Here is a 20,182-nt window from a genome sequence, read left to right on the forward strand (position 1 = left end):
GTGGTTTTTAATGGTGGCATAGTATATCATTGTGTGGATATACCATAACATATTTAAATTTATCCAATATCCTAACATTTGGAAAGTTTCCAGTTTTCACTATTAAAAATAAGGTTGTGTGATCTTTTTCACTGCATATTTTTGTTTGCATCTCTAAGTTTCTTAGGACAAGTTCTTGAATTATTGAATACTTTAAGCCCCTTTCTATGCTTTATAGAACAAGATCTATCATTTTTCATATACATATTCATACTTTATTTTTAAGAACTTAATAATTTGAGATTTTTAGACATTCCTTGCTATATCTTATTAATCAAACTGAAATATCACTTCAGCTTAAGTATTATGTCATTGTAAATTCCACTAATCAAAATTATTGCTGAGGGTACATCTGAAAATTGATAGCCTAAGAATCTGTGAATTAAGTGAATTTCCCACTAAGAACTATTAATTGAAAAGATGTGCTCTCAGTTGTAAATGTATTCATATTTAATCATCACTTGTTACCAAAATATGTTCTCCTGAGCTATGTTAAAGTCTTACTTCAGCAAGAAGAAGATGGAGCATGGTTTTGCTACCATAGCCTAAATTGATGTTCATTATTTCATAGAGAAGTCAAGACACTGATCTTCAAAGACTCAGGCTGCTCATTTTAGAGAACCTTAAAATTTCTTCCTCCTTGAGAGTAAAGCATTCTTCCCTTACCCTCACATGGTTCTTCCTATTAGTGTTATATTTGCCTGTAAAAACTGGGTGTTATAGCTAATGTCATATTCCACATACCATCTCTTGGTAGGGAAAAAGTTTCTCTTTAACAAAAACAAAAGCAGGAAACTGTGTAGGTGTTTTCTATTTGCTGAATTCTGTAAGGAGGCTTCAAATCATAGACATTGAGACATCTTTACAAGCGATGAATTCTGAGAGTCTTTATAAAACTTTCAGGATTTGTAATTTGTGGCTAAGTGGTTCTTGATATAAGGTATCTGTATTTAAATTTTAAAAACTAAGAGGAGTTTAGGAATAAATCTGATTTAACTGGCCACAGCTTTTTGTTTTAATTTCAGCATGTTTTAATACTTTTTCTCTTAACTATTCTGGTAGTACTATAAAATATAGTCTCTTCACAGGTATACTTAGTATTCCATAGTTGAATACTAAAGTTATGTATGCTTGCTGATTTTTATCCTTTTCCATAGATATTTATTAAAATATTGCCTCTTAAGGAATAATAACAGGTAACATTTATTGAGCACTTACTATGCCAGGTACTGTGCTTAGTGCCTTATATCCACACTATTATTAATTCCTCAAAACTCTACTAGGTAAGACTGGTATACTACTCTTTTGTGCTGGTACCAGAGGCTTAGAGACGTTAAATAAATTTGCCCAAGGTCACATAGCTAGTGAGAGATGGAACCAGGATTTGAACGCTGGTTTATGTCTTTAACTGTTACGGTATACAACTGATGATGTGTATTGATGGATAAAATTGGAGACTTTGTGTCAATTTTTTTTTTCCCCCTGGAGGACAGGGTCTTGCTGTGTCAACTAGGCTGGAGTGCAGTGGTATAGTCATAGCTCCCTGTAACCTCAAACTCTTGGGCTCAAGTGATCCTCCCACCTCAGCCTCCTGAAGGATAGAACTACAGGTTGCACCACTACCCTCAGCTGATTCTTTTGAATTTTTTGTAGAGATGGGATCTTGCTATGTTGCCCAGGCTGGTGTTGAATTCCTGGCATCAAGCACTCCTCCCAACTCGGCCTCCCAAAGTACTGGGACAGGCAAGAGCCACTGCACCTGGCATTAGTGCCAATATAGAGAATAAAATACAATCATTAAAATTTTTTAGATTTTGGGGGAGGGGACCTGTTCTTCACTATATCTACTATTTGATTTGTTTTCATTGTAATTAGTACTTTTACCAGTCTACAAGTTTTAGGGACTTAATTTCTAATATTTTAATGTTGACCTAGCAATAGCATGATTCTGCTCATATATTTTGAGCATATATGTCATATATGAATTAAGTTTTGCTTCTGTAGCTTTTTTTTTTTTTTTTTTTTTGAGATGGAGTCTTGCTCTGTTGCCCAGGCTGGAGTACAATGGCACGATCTCCACTCACCGCAACCTCCACCTCCTGGATTTGAGTGATTCTCCTGCTTCAGCCTCCTAAGTATCTGGGATTACAGGTGTGCGCCACCACACCTGGCTAATTTTTTGTAATTTTAGTAGAGATGGGGTTTCACCCTGTTGGCCAGGCTGGTCTCGAACTCCTGACCTCAGGTGATCCACCTGCCTCGGCCTCCCAAAGTGCTGGGATTATAGGCGTGTGCCCCCATGCCTGGCCCACTGTTTTTAAAGGCACATAAGTCTTTGAATATCAGCTAATTTATGTGTGTAGGCATCAAAATATCTAAGTGAAAAGAAGAGATGTTGAATACATTTTTTAAAAATCACCAGGTGATTCTGATACACCCATGTTATTTACATATAGATTTCTCTTTGTGTATGAGGTGAATCTTACCTTATTTCAGGTGACTGACTAGTCAGACCTTCACTCACATGTCAGTGCTCCAAATTTGGTTATATAACCACTGGTTTGTTGTGCCTTAATCAAATTATGAAAAAATAAGATTTAATATATAAGTTAAATCAAGGTTTATGTATATATTCCATACCTTTTATAGAAGGGTGTTATGTGTTAATGAAATGAATCTTTTATGGGAGGTGGCATCAATTCAAGTTAATAAAGTATAGATGCTTATCTTGAGATAATACAGAATATGTTAATAATATGTGTTCTTAGGATTTCCACTGGACAAAGCGGTTGCCTATGCAAAACTCAGGAATCCATTTGTAATCAATGACTTGAATATGCAGTATCTCATACAAGATAGGTGAGTGGTGAAGTTGGCTGAATTAAGGGAAGGAAAAATAACATTAATTTAGTACCTACTGTACACTGACATGGCATCAGGTGTTTTTGCATTATTAATTCATTGTACTTTCAAAATAATACTCAGAAATAGTTATTTATTACCTAATTTTACAGATGAGGAATCTTGATAATTAGGAAGATTGATTAATCTACCCAAAGTCACAAGTTCCCCACGTAGTAGGACAAAGACTTAACCGAGATTGTTTAATTTCCAGAGCCTACTAAACCATTCAAACTTATGAGCACTTTTTCTGTCATGGGACTGATGATGAAATTAGGACTTTACTCATTATAACTAGATTTTTTTTTTTTTTTTTGAGATGGAGTCTGGCTCTGTCGCCCAGTCTGGAGTGCAGTGGCGGGATCTCAGCTCACTGCAAGCTCCCCCTCCCGGGTTCCCGCCATTCTCCTGCCTCAGCCTCCCGAGTAGCTGGGATTACAGGCGCCCGCCACCACGCCCAGCTAATTTTTTGTATTTTTAGTAGAGACAGGGTTTCACCGTGTTAGCCAGGATGGTCTCGATCTCCTGACCTTGTGATCCGCCTGCCTCGGCCTCCCAAAGTGCTGGGATTATAGGTGTGAGCCACCGCACCCGGCCTATAACTAGATTTTTTAAATGGTAAAGTATACCTATTTTGAAAAATATTATACTGTATATCTTAGCATTCATTTAACAGGTAAAAAGCATGGATTTCTAATAAATTATAAAATATGAGTGTATTTATGTATTTCATTCAATCAATGTTTCACTCCTATAGCTATTCTCATAATCTCACCAGCATTCTATTTTCTTGTTTTACCATTACAATATGAGATTTTATGTGTATGAAAAATGCTTTGTAAATATGAGACCTTATGGTTTTTTCACTTTATTTTTTTCTATTCTTCCAGAGAGTAACATTATTAATATCTAAAATTTAAAACATTTTCTCTACATTTACATATTAATTCATATATATGTGTTTTTATATATACAGCTATAGCTATAGAAATGTATGTTCGTTTTAAATGGTTTGAAAAGTAAAAGCGTACCGAAAGCCATTTAATCGTCACTGTATCTATCATATTTTTTTCCTATAGAAAACAATACATACATAACAATCACATTTTACCAAATTAGAATCACTTTTCTCTAGTATGCTGTGAACATTTCTCCATGTCATTAAATACTATTTAAGCATAAGGCTTTTAATGCTTAGGTAATGTTCTATCATTGTGATAATATCAACTTTATTCAGCCATTTTTAAAATACATTTATGTTCTCAGTTTTAATAATTAGTTTCTCAATAAGCTAGAAAAGAATTGTGCATAAATTTGTGTTCTTATTGCTGAATATTTCCTCAGAATACCTTTTTTGAATATTCGAAGTGACATTTGTTTATTTAAAAAATAAAAAGTGTTGAGATATATACCCTTTTTAGTTATAGAACAACAATAATGTCTTTTAAGAAAACTACAATAATATATTCATTGTGAAATGGAGCAATAAAACAATAAGGATGTTTCCCTTTTTCTTCAGGAGAGAAGTATATAGTATTCTTCAAGCTGAAGGTATTTTACTTCCTCGTTATGCTATTTTGAACCGTGACCCAAATAATCCCAAAGGTAAGAGTAAGAGATTTTAGGTAAGCTTCCTTTGCCACTTGACATACTTTTGGGCCACATTCTTACAATAATTAACTGGAAGGAATTTAAAGAATTCATAGTATTCTATTCCATTTTAAAAAATAATCTAAACAGACAAACATATTCAATTAAAAGGTGACACTGAGTTAAAAGGCTACCTAATAATTTAGGAATTATTTATCCTTCTCTTCTTTGGCCTACTTTTGACATATCTCTAAGAATCATGAGTTAGAATTTTGAAATTACATACAAGTAAATGTGTATTGATTAAAGGTGAACAAGTGATTTATCTATGACTATTGAATTAAGTATTAGAAACTTCATGCTACAATGCCAAAAACTAAATACTGGCCAAGAATTTGGAAATACAGTTGGCCCTGGAACAGCATGTGTTTGAACTGTGCTGGTCTGCTTATTCATGGAATAAACATGAATTGAAAATACGGAATTCGTGGGTCCCACATATACTGATAGCCAACTTTTCATTTACATGGATTCTGCAGAGCCAACTGTGGGACTTGAGTATGTGAAGATTTTGGTATACGAGGGGGTTCCTGGAACCAGTCACCGCGTATGACAAGGGGCAACAGTACTTCTAAGTATTTATTAATATTTTAAAGCACTGTTTGCTCCTTTTTTTCTGGTTATCTAAAACATAGCATGGAAGCTATACCTAACTTAGTCACAAGGCAAAATACGTGTTTGTCTTGAGTTAACATTTCTGTTCACACTTAGTATTGTGGGGAATTTTGATGAATTTATCATACCTTAAACCATCTTTTATTAAAAACTAGGGGGGAGGCAGAACAAGATGGCCAAATATACCCTCCAGTGATTGTCCCACTCCCCACAGGAACACCAAATTATAAACTAGCCATGCAAGAATGCACCTTCATAAGAACCAAAAAATTAGTCCACCAAGGTGGTGCCTCTAGGAGTCAGCAAGAGTTTGTAGCATTCCTGGACTTAGGGCGCCCCCTAGTGCTAATACAGCTGCAGTGACCTCAGGCTTAGATCATAACACTTAGTCTTTTTTGAATATGTGGAAAGCTTTCTCAAGAAGGATGGATACAAACAAGCCCAAACGGTGAAGACTGAAATAAATACCTAACTTGTAAATACCCAGACATCAGTGAATGTCTACAAGCATCAAGAACATCCAGAAAAATGTGACCTCACCAAACAAACTAAATAAGGTACCAGTTACCAATCCTGGAGTGATGGAGATATGTGACCTTTCAGACAGAGAATTCAAAATAGCTGTCCTGAGGAAGCTCAAGAACTTCAGTGTAACATGGAGAAGGAATCAGAATTGTATCATGAGAAATTAACAAGGAGATTGAAATAATTCAAAACAAGCCAAAATTCTGGAACTGAAAAATTCAGTTGACAAACTGAAATATATATCAAAGCCTCTCAACAGCAAAGTGGATCAAGTAGAAGAATTAGTGAGCTTGAAAACTGGCTATGTGAAAATCCATAGCCAGAGGAGAAAGAGAGGAAAAGAATGAAACACACTTACAGGACTAAAGAGACCTGAGAGAGGAGCTTGAACAAACTTCCCAGGTAGCACTTTTCATCTTTTTAGCCCACTCCTTTCTTCGTTTTTCTTTAAGAACTTTGGGACCTACGTAGTTAATAAGGGGAAGGGAAAATGTTAAAAAAAAAAAAAAAAATCTTAAAAATAGCCTCAAAGGGACAAATCCAAGAATTAGTGCTCTTAAAGAGAACATAGATCATGGTAGAAAGTTTATTGAAATAAGCAATAACAGAACTTTCCAAACCTAAAGAAAGATACGAATATGCATAGGTCATAGAAGAATATGAAGATTTAACCCAAATAAGACTATCTCAAGGCATATATTAATTAAACTCTCAAAGGTCAAGGATAAACAAAGATCCTTAAAGCACCCAGAGAATAGATGTATATAACATGTAAAGAAGCTCTGATACAACTGGCAGCTGACATCTAAGCAGAAAGCTTATAGGCTAGGAGAGAGTGTGATGGCATTCAAAGTGTTGAAGGAAAAACAAAACTTCCAACCTAGAATATTCTATTCAGCAAAATTATCCTTCAGGCCGGGCGCGGTGGCTCACGCCTGTAATCCCAGCACTTTGGGAGGCCGAGGCGGGCGGATCACGAGGTCAGGAGATCGAGACCACGGTGAAACCCCGTCTCTACTAAAAATACAAAAAATTAGCCGGGCGCAGTGGCGGGCGCCTGTAGTCCCAGCTACTCGGGAGGCTGAGGCAGGAGAATGGCGTGAACCCGGAAGGCGGAGCTTGCAGTGAGCGGAGATCGCGCCACAGCACTCCCGCCTGGGCGACAGAACGAGACTCCGTCTCAAAAAAAAAAAAAAAAAAAAATTATCCTTCAAACATGAAGACATAATATACTTTACTAAACAGAAACTGAGGGATTCATGAATTACCAGTATCATGGAATTTTTCTGTCCTTATAGGACAGGATAGGAAAAAGATCTTACAGATCTTTTACAGGAAATGCTAAAAGGAGTTCATCAATCTGATAGAAAAAGACGTTAAAAATAAGAAATCATCTGGGCCGGGTGCAGTGGCTCACGTCTGTAATCCCAACACTTTGGGAGGCCGAGGTGGGTGGATCACGAGGTCAGGAGATCGAGACCATCCTAGCTAACGTGGTGAAACCCCGTCTTGTGTCCGGAATTGGTGGGTTCTTGGTCTCACTAATTTCAAGAATGAAGCCGCAGACCCTCGCGGTGAGTGTTACAGCTCTTAAGGTGGCACGTCTGGAGTCTGTCCCTTCCGATGTTCAGATGTGTTTGGAGTTTCTTCCTTCTGGTGGGTTCGTGGTCTCGCTGGCTCAGGAGTGAAGCTGCAGACCTTCGCGGTGAGTGTTACAGCTCTTAAGGTAGCGCGTCTGGAGTTGTTCGTTCCTCCCGGTGGGCTCTTGGTCTTGCTGGGCTCAGGTGTGAAGCTGCAGATCTTCGCGGTGAGTGTTACAGCTCGGGCAGCCTGCTTTTATTCTCTTATCTGGCCCCACCCACATCCTGCTGATTGGTAGAGCCGAGTGGCCTGTTTTGTCAGGGCACTGATGGGTGCGTTTACAATCCCTGAGCTAGATACAAAGGTTCTCCACGTCCCCATCAGATTAGTTAGATACAGAGTTTCGACACACAGGTTCTCCAAGGCCCCACCAGAGCAGCTAGATGCAGAGTGTCGATTGGTGCATTCACAAACCTTGAGCTAAACACAGGGTGCTGATTGGTGTGTTTACAAACCTTGAGCTAGATACAGAGTGCCGATTGGAGTATTTACAATCCCTGAGCTAGAAATAAAGGTTCTCCAAGGCCCCACCAGAGAGCTAGATACAGAGTGTAGATTGGTGCACTCACAAACCTTGAGCTAAACACAGGGTGCTGATTGGTGTATTTACAATCCCTGAGCTAGACATAAGGACTCTCCACCTCCCCACCAGACTCAGGAGCCCAGCTGGCTTCACCCAGTGGATCCCGCACCAGGGCTGCAGGTGGAGCTGCCTGCCAGTCACGCGCCGTGTGCTCGCACTCCTCAGCCCTTGGGTGGTCGATGGGACTGGGCGCCGTGGAGCAGGGGGTGGTGCTCGTTGGGGAGGCTCGGGCCGCACAGGAGCCCATGGAGTGGGTGGGAGGCTCAGGCATAGCAGGCTGCAGGTCCCGAGCCCTGCCCTGCGGGAAGGCAGCTAAGGCTCGGTGAGAAATCCAGCGCAGCGCCGGTGGGCTGGCACTGCCGGGGGACCCAGTACACCCTCCGCAGCCACTGGCCCGGGTGCTAAGTCCCTCATTGTCCAGGGCCAGGCTGGCCGGCTGCTCCGAGTGCGGGGCCCGCCAAGCCCAAGCCCACGCCCACCCAGAACTCCAGCTGGCCCGCAAGCACCGCCCCGCAGCCCCAGTTCCCGCTCGCGCCTCTCCCTCCACATCTCCCTGCAACCTGAGGGAGTGGGCTCCAGCCTTGGCCAGCCCAGAAAGGGGCTCCCACAGTGCAGCGGCGGGACGAAGGGCTCCTCAAGCGCCGCCAAAGTGGAAGCCCAGGCAGAGGAGGCGCCAAGAGCGAGCGAGGGCTGTGAGGACTGCTAGCACGCTGTCACCTCTCAGTCTCTACTAAAAATACAAAAAAAATTAGCCGGGTGTGGTGGCGGGCGCCTGTAGTCCCAGCTACTCGGGAGGCTGAGGCAGGAGAATGGCATGAACCCAGGAGGCGGAGCTTGCAGTGAGCCAAGATGGCGCCACTGCACTCCAGCCTGGGCGAGTGAGCAAGACTCCGTCTCAAAAAAAAAAAAAAAATTCAAGAAATCATCTGAATGTGTAAAACTCACTGGTAATAGCAAGTACACAGATAAATACATAATACTCTAACACTGTCATTGTGGTGTACAAACCTCTTATATATTTCATAAGAAGACTAAAAGGCAAACCTGTCAGAAATAATAACTACAACAACTTTTTACGAGTATAGAAACATAAAAATAGAGACAACAAAAAGTCAAAACATGGATGGGGGGAAATGGAGTTAAAATGTAGAGTTTTTAAAATTTTCTTTTTATTTTCTTTGTAATCAGAGTTAAGTTGTCATCAATTTAAAATAATTGTAATAAAATGTTATTTGTAAGCCTTATGGTAATCACAAAACAAAAACCTGTAACAGATACACAAAAAATAAAAAGAAATTAAAACATACTACCAGAGAGAATTACATATGTGTAGTATTTGAGATAGGGTCTTGCTCTTCACCCATGTTAGAGTGAAGTGGCGTGATCACTTTTCACTGTAGCCTCGACTCCCAAGTGATTCTCGCACTTCAGCTTCCTGAGTAGCTGGGACTACAAGCACAAGCCACCAGACCCAAGTAATTATTTTTTGTAGAGACAGGATCTCACTGTGTAGCCCAGGCTGGTTTCAAAACTCCTTGGCTCATGTGATCCTCCTGTCTCAGACTCCAGAAGTGCTGGGGACCATCATGCCCCGGCAGAAAATCACTTTGCCACAAAGGAAGATAGGTCAGGAAGGAAGGAAGGGAGGACAAAATAATGGAAACCTCAGAAAACAAATGCCAAAATAGCAGAAGCAAGTCTTTACCTATCAGTAATAACGTGAATGCAAATGAGCTGAATTCTTGCAACAAAACACTTAGAGTTGCTAAATGGATTAAAAAATAAGATCCAACTCTATACTCTCTACATATGATCATTTCAATTGATGGAGAAAAAGCATTTGATAAAATTAAACATCCCTTCATGATAAAATCTCTCAAAAAACTGGGTATGGAATGAACTTACCTCTATGTGATAAAAGCGCTATATGACAAACCCACAGCTAACATTATACTGAACAGGGAAAAGGTGAAAATATTTCCTCTAAGAATTGGAACAAGACAAGGATGTCTACTTTCATCTCTTTTATTCAACATAATACTGGAAATTATAGCCAGAGAAATTAGGGAAGAGAAAGAAATAAAGGGCATCCAAATTGAAAAAAAAGGAGTTACATTATTCTTGTTTATAGATGATATGATCTTACAGTTAGAAAATCCTAGAGTCTTTACCACAAAACTATTAGAACAAGTTCAGTAAAGTTGCAGGATACAATATTAACTTACAAAAATCCATAGCATTTCTATATGCGAACAGCAAACAATCTGAAAAAGAAACTAAAAAAAAAAAGTAATCCCATTTACAATAGCTACAAATAAATTAAATACCTCGGAATTCACTTAAAGAAATGAAAGATCTCTTCTACAATGAAAACCATAAAATGCTGATGAAAAAAATTGAAGAGAACACACAAAAAAATGGAAAAATACTCCATTTTCATTGATTGAAAGAATCAGTATTGTTAAAATTGCCATACTACCCAAAGCCATCTACAGATTCAATGCAGTCAGAATAGCAAAGACATTCTTCACAGAAATAGAAAAAAAATACTAAAATTTATATGGAACCACAAAAAACTCAGAATAGCCATAGCCAGCCTGAGCAAAAACAACAAAACTGGAGGAATCACATTATTTGACTTCAAGTTGTACTGCTAAGCTATAGTAACCAAAACAGGATGGTACTGGCATCAAAATATAGACCAATGGAACAGAATGCAGAATCCAGAAAAAAATATACACATTTGCAGTTAACTCATTTTCGACAAAGTTGACCAGAATGTCCACTGGGGATAGGACAGTGTCTTCAGTAAGTAGTGTTGGGAAAACTTGATATCTATATCCAGAATCAAATTAAGCCCCTATCTCTCTCCATATACATAATCAAAATGGATTAAATACTTAAATCTAAGACCTGAAGCTATGCAACTACTAAAAGAAAACATTGTAGAAACACTCCAGGATACTGGTCTGGGCAAAAATTTCTTGAGTAAGACCTCAGAAACCCAGGCAACCAAAGCAAAAATATACCAATGGGATCATATCAACCTAAAAAACTTCTGCACAGCAAAGGAAACAATACAGTGAAGAGACAGTCCACGGAATGGGAGAAGATATTTGTAAACTACCCATTTGACAAGGGACTAATAACCAGAATATATAAGAAGCTCAAACAGCTCTATAGGAAAAAAAAAATCTAATTAAAATATGGGCAAAAGATTTGAACAGATTTTTCTCAAAGGAAGACATACAAATGGCCAATAGGTATATGAAAATATGCTCAACGTCACCAATCATCAGAGAAATGCAAATCAAATCTGTGATGAGATATCAACTCATCCAAGTTAAAATGGCTTTTATCAAGAAGACAAGCAATAAGAAATGTTTGTGAGGATGTGGAGAAAGGGAATACTGTTGGTGGGAATGTGAATTAGTAAAGCCACTATTGAGAACAAAATGGAGGTTCCTCAAAAAACTAAAAATAGAGCTACCATATGATCTTGCAATCCCACTGCTGGGTATATGTCCAAAAAAGAGGAAATCAGTATATTGAAGAGATATTTGCACTCATGTTTATTGCAGCACCACTTGGAATAGCCAGTATGGAAACAACCTAAGGGTCCATTAATGGATGGATAAAGAAAATGTGGTACCTATAGATAATGGTATATTATTCAGCTATAAAAATAATGAAATCCTGTCATTTGCAACAACATGGATGGAACTGGAGGTCTTATGTTAAGTGAAATAAGCCAGGCAAGAAAGAAAGATTGCATGTTTTCACGTGTGGGAGCTTAAAAAAAAGATGAACTCTTAGAGCTTGAGCATAGAATACTTGTTACTGGAGGGAAGGGTTGCAAGGATGACGGGGATGAAGTGAGGATAGTTAGTGAGTATAGCAACACAGATAGAATAAATAAGATCCAGTATTTGGTAGCACAATAGGGTGACTATAGTTTACAATAATTTATTTTATATTTTGAAATAACTAAAAGTGAAATTAGAATGTTCCTAACACAAAGAAATGATAAATGTTTGAGGTGGTGAATACCCCAACTATTCCAGTTTGATTATTACACATTGTATGCCTGTATCAGAATTTCACGTGGACCACAAAAATATATACAACTACTATGTACCCATGATGATTAAAAATAACATTTAAAAAAGATATAAAGTAATCATCATCTGAAACAAGAAACTTTTCTTGTCTAGAGGTAAAAAATTAACTTTCTAATTGAATTGCTGGCTTACTTTGCATATAAGCTACTTTCTAACTTAAATAACTTCATGTTTTACGATATCTGTGATATGAGTAATCTCACAGTTTTCAGAAGATGGTGGCATTCTTGAGTTACTTCTCAGTCTTTCTTGATATAATAATTTCACATCTAACTTTGAATTCTGTGGTGTGGTAGTGTGAAATGGTAAGTCTGTAAAATTTTGAAGAACTATAGCTTTTAATGCCATACGTATCATAAATGTTGGCACATGTTATTTACATAAACATGGATAATTAAAATCAAGTAAGTACATTATCCAAGTTTTCTTTTATGGTCTTTTAGTGAAAAAGTCCTCGATAATAATGTGGTGTCCTGATAATATAATAAGAATATGTGATATTTCTTGCAATCGTGTTTGTTTTATAGAATGTAATCTGATTGAAGGGGAAGATCATGTAGAAGTAAATGGGGAAGTTTTTCAAAAGCCATTTGTAGAAAAGCCAGTCAGTGCAGAAGATCACAATGTTTACATTTATTACCCAACTTCTGCTGGTGGTGGAAGTCAAAGACTCTTTAGAAAGGTAACACCTTTGTAACTTTTGTATGAATACTCTTCTTTGTACATTGTCGTGTATTATTAAAAGCAATCAAGCATTTAATTACCGTTAAATATTGAACTCTTGAAAATGTATCATTTAGAGGTAAATTTATGAAACTGATATACTTTGTTAGAAAAGCATGGCATCATTTTAGTTATTTAATGTTGTTAAGCAGAATTTCTGCCTGCAGAATGCCAGGAAAGATACTTGACTTTTCTTTTCCCTCCCATTTTGTACATCTGTCAAACTAGAAATTCACTTAAGCAGTAGCAGTCTTTTAGAATAATGGCCCAGAAAAATAACAGCTCATAGAAAAAGTAACACTAATAACTTTACGTACATGAAAGTATACTTAATTGTACTCAAATGCAAATTAAATTGAGATATAATGACATTGTATTACTTTTTGGATTGACAAAGATAAAAAATATTGAGCTAGTTGAGAAATAAGCACAAGACCAAACATTGTTGGCAGAAATACAAAGCAATGTAGCCTCTTAACAATATAATTTAGCAATGTATCAGAATGTAAAATGCATATACATATAGAAATTGATGGCAATTCAAATTAAGAACACAGTGAGATACCATTTTAACATCCATTAAAGTAGCAGATATTAAGAAGCCTAACAATAACAAGTGTAAACAAGGATGTAGAACAGTGAAAACTTACACATTGCTGATGAGACCCTACATTGTTAAAATAGTTGATAAAGATTTTTCATTATCTTCACAAGTTGCATATGAGCACATTCTATTAATGAGCAGTTCCACTTTTATTATATACCTTAGAAACACTCATACATGTTTGCCGTTGGGACACATAAGAATGTTGAAAGCAACATTATTGTAATCACCAAAGCTTGGAAAACAACCTAAACATACATTGATAGGAGAATGGATAAATTCTGGTGTATTTACACAATGGAAAATTCTAGAGTAGTAAAAATGAACAAGCTTGAGTTACATGCAGCAACCTGGATGAATCTTAAGAACATAATTCTTAATGTTCATTGTATTTCTATGTTCTCTAATATATAAGTTATGGTAACAATAGAGACTACTATAGTGCCAAGTATATAGTAAGTTTTGTTAAATATTTGTGGATTAAAAAATGTATTTGAAAATGTCTAAGATGGAAATAGATGGTAAATAAACTATTTGTCATTTTATCATAAAAATGAGGGAAATAATTTGCTTTTTTATATCGATGGACATCTTTTGTTTTCAGATTGGCAGTAGAAGTAGTGTTTATTCTCCAGAAAGCAATGTACGAAAAACAGGCTCATATATATATGAAGAGTTTATGCCCACAGATGGTACTGATGTTAAGGTAGGATTGATTAAAATAGATTTTAGTTTTATATTTCAAGTTTACCAATGATATCAGAAAAAGTAGTTAATCTTTAGCTATATCTAACCTTTATTCTGGATCTCTTTCTTTTTGATTAGGGATTCCTCATGTTTTGTAACAACAACATCTTTAGCAGTCTGAAGCCTATGGACTCTTTTTTAAGAGTAGTGTTTTTAAATGCTTTAAACATGTAAGATTATGATGGAGACAAATTTTATTCAAATATAATAAAATATTTAAAAACCAACTTTGTGTTACACATAATATGTCTTTAAAGGGGCATTAAATAATAAGATACCAGGGATAAAGGTCTAATAACCACCACAGTTTCCAAGCAGTGATTAGTGTAAGTGAGGTTTTGAGATCTGTGACAACTGTGATGTGATATAAAACATGTCTGTCATTTTAGTTGGTGACAAATAGGTCTTAATCGCTTTACCTTCAGCCATTCTCTCTCTAACCAGAATGTTTTCTAAAGTATAAATCTGAGTATGAATCCTTAAAAATTCTCTAGTGGATCCTTATTGACCACAGGATAATAACCAGATTCATAATCCTGCCATACAAGATATTTCAGTCTGTCCTCTCTTTGTCTTATAAACCTCATTTCTTACAGTATAAACTACATCAGATAACTTGCCGATACCTGAATACATCATGCTGTTCATGCCTCTTTCCTTTACTTTTCTTCTCTTACCTGCACTCAGATTATGCCCTCACCCTTTTAAAGATGTTCTTTTGGAAGGTTTTTTTTTTCCTGTAAGTTTTATAGTTATTTGCATCTCTCATTTGTTAAACTAAAACAATTTGAGGAGAGCGATCACATTGTATACATCCTAGTATTCCCTCGTAATACTCAATATAATAGTTTTCTATAGAGAATGAAACTTCACTTTACCAATTTTGCTATATAATGATTACTTACAACCTTTCCCAATGAACTGAAAATTTGGGCATGTAAAATAGAAAGATGTGTCTACTAGCCTGGATTCTGAACTATTTTTTAGTAATTTTTTCATTGTATTTGTTGTCTGTTGGTTACACACACACACACACATACATATATATATTTATACATTTATTAAACATTTGTGAAAGGTTTATACAGTGGGTCCAGATTATGCCCATGCTGAAGCTCGAAAATCTCCAGCACTTGATGGCAAGGTGGAACGAGACAGTGAAGGAAAAGAAGTAAGATACCCTGTTATTCTCAATGCACGAGAGAAATTAATTGCTTGGAAAGTCTGCCTTGCTTTTAAGGTAAGATGTTATACAGGCCTATAGATCCTTATAAAGGTAAATTCTAATTTTCTTTTTTGACTAAGACATTATTGGTGCTTATAATTGGAGAAGTAAACCGAGAAAGTAATTAATACATCTGAATGGTTCATGTACTTTTCAAGGGATTCTTGTGGTGCCAATATATTCTTTTGTATTATATAAAAGAAAACCTGGTCAATTTATTCAGAAATTAAAAATAAAATAAAAATTCAGAAATGACTCAGCTGATCAGTGTTTTAGGGTTATTGTCTAGCATACTTTTTGAAACTGGCTTTAAGTGTTACTTTCATAGAATTGGTAAGATTTTTTTGTTGAATGAAAACAGTTCTCAGTGGTCTATGTTCATGAAAACAATATAAAAACATTTCTTTTTTTTTTTTTTGAGACGGAGTCTCGCTGTCACCCAGGCTGGAGTGCAGTGGCAGGATCTTGGCTCACTGCAACCTCTGCCTCCCGGGTTCAAGCGATTCTCCTGCCTCAGCCTCCAGAGTAGCTGGGATTACAGGCACCCACCACCATGCCCGGCTAATTTTTGTATTTTTAGTAGAGAGGGGGTTTCTCCACGTTGGCCAGGCTCATCTCAAACTCCTGACCTCGTGATCTGCCCACCTCGGCTTCCCAAAGTGCTGGAATTACAGGTGTGAGCCACTGCACCCGGCCAAAACCATTTCTTGAAAAAAACTTTTTTACTTCTGACATTTGACTAATTCTCTCAATCTATATTGTTAAGTTTCTTCCTAACTACTGTATAGTAAAGATTTAAATAGAAGTACTACAACCTTCCTTTAATGAAGGATAAAAATTTTACCTTCTTGAAATCTTAAAGACTAGTATATATTACTGGTTGTTAAATAATAAATAATTATTTTGTGCCTTAATAATTTGAAGTGTCTTTCATGGAAGGAATGTTAGCCTGTAAATAAGTTTTAATAGCTTTATAGAAATCCTTTTATTATGCCAGGATTCTGAAAGCTGTGACAAAAAATCACATTATACTAATACCTGATGATTGAACTTAAAATGTAGATCAGAAAGTTCTTAGAGCCTGAGTGGCAAATTCATGCCTTTTGGCCATTTTCTTCACCCAGATAAAGTAAATTTATTACAGGTGTTCACGAATATGTGGTATTAGGGGTTTAAAAGATCACAGGATTTCGACTGGGCGTGGTGGCTCACACCCATAATCCCAGCACTTTGGGGGTGCTGAGGTAGGTGGATCACTTGAGGCCAGAACTCCAGACCAGCCTAGCTAACATAGCAAAACCCTGTCTATACTAAAAATACAAAAATTAGCCTTGTGGTGGCTCACACCTGTAATCCCAGCTACTGCGGTGGCTGGGGCACAAGAATTCCTTGAACCTGGGAAGTGGAGGTTGCAGTGAGCCAACATTGTGCCACTGCACTCCAGCCTGGGTGACAGAGCGACACTACCTCTCAAAACCAAACAAAACAGATCACAAGATTTCCTCTGGAATATGTCCTCAAAACTATTCTCCACGTCCATCCTCCTTTTTTTTTTTTTTTTTTTTTTTTATTAACATGGTGTAATTTCTGCTAGAGCCAATTTTTTTTTATCAGATCCTTTAAAAATTTTGCTTTTGTTTTTAAATTAAATGTTAATTGAAGAACTTTGTGATCAAATATATTATTTTTGGGCCTCTGTAGCCCCTTATGCGTTATTGTTGTACATCTACTTTATGATGAAAGACTTAAATAATCATATAGCCTCTATAATGTATTTTCAGAGTACTCAAGTTATAAATAAGTAATTTCTTTCATTTCTTATTATGAAGTAAACCACTATATAGTAATATACTTTTAAGCATTTATAAAATTTGATATGTTCTGATAGGACTAGAAAACTGTGAATCTTAATAATTTAAATAAAACCTTAAAGTTTATAACTTATTTTAAATAGCAAACAGTTTGTGGCTTTGATTTGTTACGGGCCAATGGACAGTCCTATGTCTGTGATGTCAATGGCTTCAGTTTTGTGAAAAATTCCATGAAGTATTATGATGACTGTGCAAAAATACTTGGGTAAGAATTTTTAAATTTTTCTTTTTACCTTCATATACTAGTTATTCAGAAACCAAATAACTGTTAACATTAAATGATCAGGGTTTTTAAGCATTCTAGAGTAAAGATCAGTGTTCATAAAATGATACCCCCAGAGACTATGCCAGATCCTGAATTATACTTTGGCTTATCAAAGACAGATTAATTTATGATCAGTATAGATGAAAACCTTTAACTTCATATGTTTACAAATACTATAACATGCTGATTATTAGTCAAAAGTTTATTTGTTAGAATACTTTATTCCTCAAATTTTTGCCATGTAGTTATAGTGGAAAAGGTTTTCTTCTACTTAATGGACAAAATTAACATTCATGAAATAAACAGAGTAAAATAGAAATATTTAGAATTCATGACTCTTTTGCATGACAATTCATTCTACAAGCATATGTTACTTGATGATATTTTCATAAGATTATCAAGTGAATGTAAAAAAATTATTGTAGGTAGAAATGCCATTTTTATATTCTTCAACCTGTTTTCTTTATACCTTGATTCAGAAGACTAGCAAGGCAATAACTATTTTTAAGACATTTCCAGGTATATATGACAAATCCATAGGAAACTTACATTAAAAAATGTTCGATAATTGGAGCTAGCTTTTATACTGGTTAAGTATCCCTTATCCAAAATGCATGGGACCAGAAGTGTTTTGGATTTCAGATTTTCAGATTAAGAACATTTAACCCACAGTATGTTTCAAAGATTTACAAACTTACCCTTAAAGTGATGTAAGGGAGAGTTTACTAAATTTTAGCATAAATAAATGCTAAATTTAAACAAAGCCAAAAAGTAAACATTTTTCCATTTTTAACCCTATTAGTATAGTAGTGATTTGTTAAGATGAACACAATATTTAGAGTAGCATTATAGATGTTCAATAAAGTGATAAGAATTTATCAGTAGCCACACAGAAGAGACAATCTTGAATTTCAGAATGTATGTAGTTAGATGTGATGTAATTGTAGTGATTTCTTTGAATCCAATGTTGATTGATATTTTAAAACTAAAGTAAATAATCTCAAATTTGTGAAATCCCATTGATGTGTCTAATACATCAATTTGGAACTGCTGATTTTTATTTTTTCTTGATCAGAATGGATTCTGTGGGTTATCTTTTATGTGATGTAATCACTAGATAGTTTAACTCTTATGATTCTCTCTCATCCTCATTAAGTACCCAGTTTTGTCTTAAAACGTACTAATTTTAAATCTTTTCTTTTTTGTCTTGAAGAAATATTGTAATGCGAGAACTTGCTCCACAATTTCATATTCCATGGTCAATACCCTTAGAAGCTGAAGATATCCCAATTGTACCAACTACATCTGGAACTATGTAAGTCTGAATTATTTTCATTTAGAAATTGAGTTTTCCTTGCCATCTGTGCTATTAGGATAAAAATTAAATTTCTGAATGATGATTAGACACTTTAGTGTGTATGATTTCATATGATTCAGCTTGAAGATAGAGGAGTAGATTATACGTATTTATAAGGGTCCACTAATTGTTACAAATAAACTACTGAAACATGCCTGGATAATTATAGAATTGTTTAATCAAGCCATAAAAATAAAAAAGGTACCAATAGGAATGTTACTTAAAGGTTCATAGTGGTCTTACAACTTTTGCTCTCTCAAGTCATATCTTGCATAATTATACCAGTATTGCCAAAATGTTTTATAACATTCTCTTACTGAAAATTATTCCTTTAAATTCATGTCAGTTGACTGAATGCTTTTTTTTCACAACTTAGATATTTATATTAACATGTTAAATATCCTGAGATGTACTGATGATGGGGGGAACTAATTTTGTTTTTAATCAGCATTTTTCATACTGATTTAACACGCAAGTGTTAAATAAAATTTTTTTCAGGTAACTCAATTGATAATCCTGCAGGGTTATGTTCTGCAGTTCACACTTCAGCACACACTAGATTATACCTCTGAATTCTAGCATGCTTCTAAGATGATTTTATCTTCCAGTAATTTGAGTTGTAAATACTTGTTCTCCTTACATGGGCAAAACTTAGCAAATATATAAATATAGCAACCATCATGTAAAGTTTTATTTTGATTTAATGAAGTCTCAGTCTGTAGTGACCTAATGCTATGGATCAGATATATAAGAAAGCTCAGAAATTGTAGTCCATCTACTTTTATCCCAGAGTTAATGTAGCCATTTCTAGAGAAGAAAAGGTTGTATTCTACTATATAGCTTAATATCACCTCCCTCCCCCAGCTTCTTAAGTTCTTTTTGAATTTTATTTCATAAAGTTAAAACTAGATTGTTATAAGTATTATTCTTCATGGGAAAGATCTTGAAGTGGTAAAAGATGGCTTTAAATAGATGACTAAATGTTCATATTAATCTGAATTATACAACACAAATCTTTTTTAGAGAATTAAGAACATATATATTTTTTCATTTTAGGATGGAACTTAGATGTGTCATAGCTGTTATACGTCATGGGGATCGAACACCAAAACAAAAAATGAAAATGGAAGTGAGACATCAGAAGTATGTTTTCAGATGAATAATTTAACATGCATGATACAATTTTAAGATTTCTGATAAGTGATCAACTCTTTTGATTAATACATCATATAGAAAAACTTTTATCTACTGTCTCTTGGCCATTTATATTTAAACCAGTGGGTGGGTACAAAATCCATTTAAAATATGTTCATTA

General features: G+C 35.8%; 1 protein-coding gene across 30 annotated transcripts in view, besides 1 other annotated feature; it reads left to right on the forward strand.

The window, feature by feature from the left end:
* PPIP5K2 (diphosphoinositol pentakisphosphate kinase 2) overlaps positions 1-20,182 on the forward strand; it is a 92,499-nt gene that overhangs the window by 13,624 nt on the left and 58,693 nt on the right. For all 30 annotated transcript variants that reach the window (NM_001281471.3, XM_005277534.3, XM_005277536.3 and 27 more), the window contains exons 4-11: positions 2,808-2,898; positions 4,460-4,545; positions 12,603-12,757; positions 14,007-14,108; positions 15,228-15,389; positions 17,329-17,450; positions 18,724-18,825; positions 19,924-20,010. In NM_001281471.3, coding sequence (NP_001268400.1) covers positions 2,808-2,898; positions 4,460-4,545; positions 12,603-12,757; positions 14,007-14,108; positions 15,228-15,389; positions 17,329-17,450; positions 18,724-18,825; positions 19,924-20,010 — 907 coding nt within the window. The remainder of the gene's footprint in view (positions 1-2,807; positions 2,899-4,459; positions 4,546-12,602; positions 12,758-14,006; positions 14,109-15,227; positions 15,390-17,328; positions 17,451-18,723; positions 18,826-19,923; positions 20,011-20,182) is intronic.
* Positions 7,803-8,304: an enhancer, noted in NCBI's record as "H3K4me1 hESC enhancer chr5:102477431-102477932 (GRCh37/hg19 assembly coordinates)". NCBI's record gives its function as "activates a minimal SCP1, AML or CMV promoter by ChIP-STARR-seq in primed H9 embryonic stem cells {active_cell/tissue: H9 hESC(primed)}" and the evidence as "EXISTENCE:reporter gene assay evidence [ECO:0000049][PMID:30033119]".

This window comes from Homo sapiens, chromosome 5, assembly GCF_000001405.40.
Source record: "Homo sapiens chromosome 5, GRCh38.p14 Primary Assembly".
In the NCBI taxonomy this organism is placed as follows: Eukaryota; Metazoa; Chordata; class Mammalia; order Primates; family Hominidae; genus Homo; species Homo sapiens.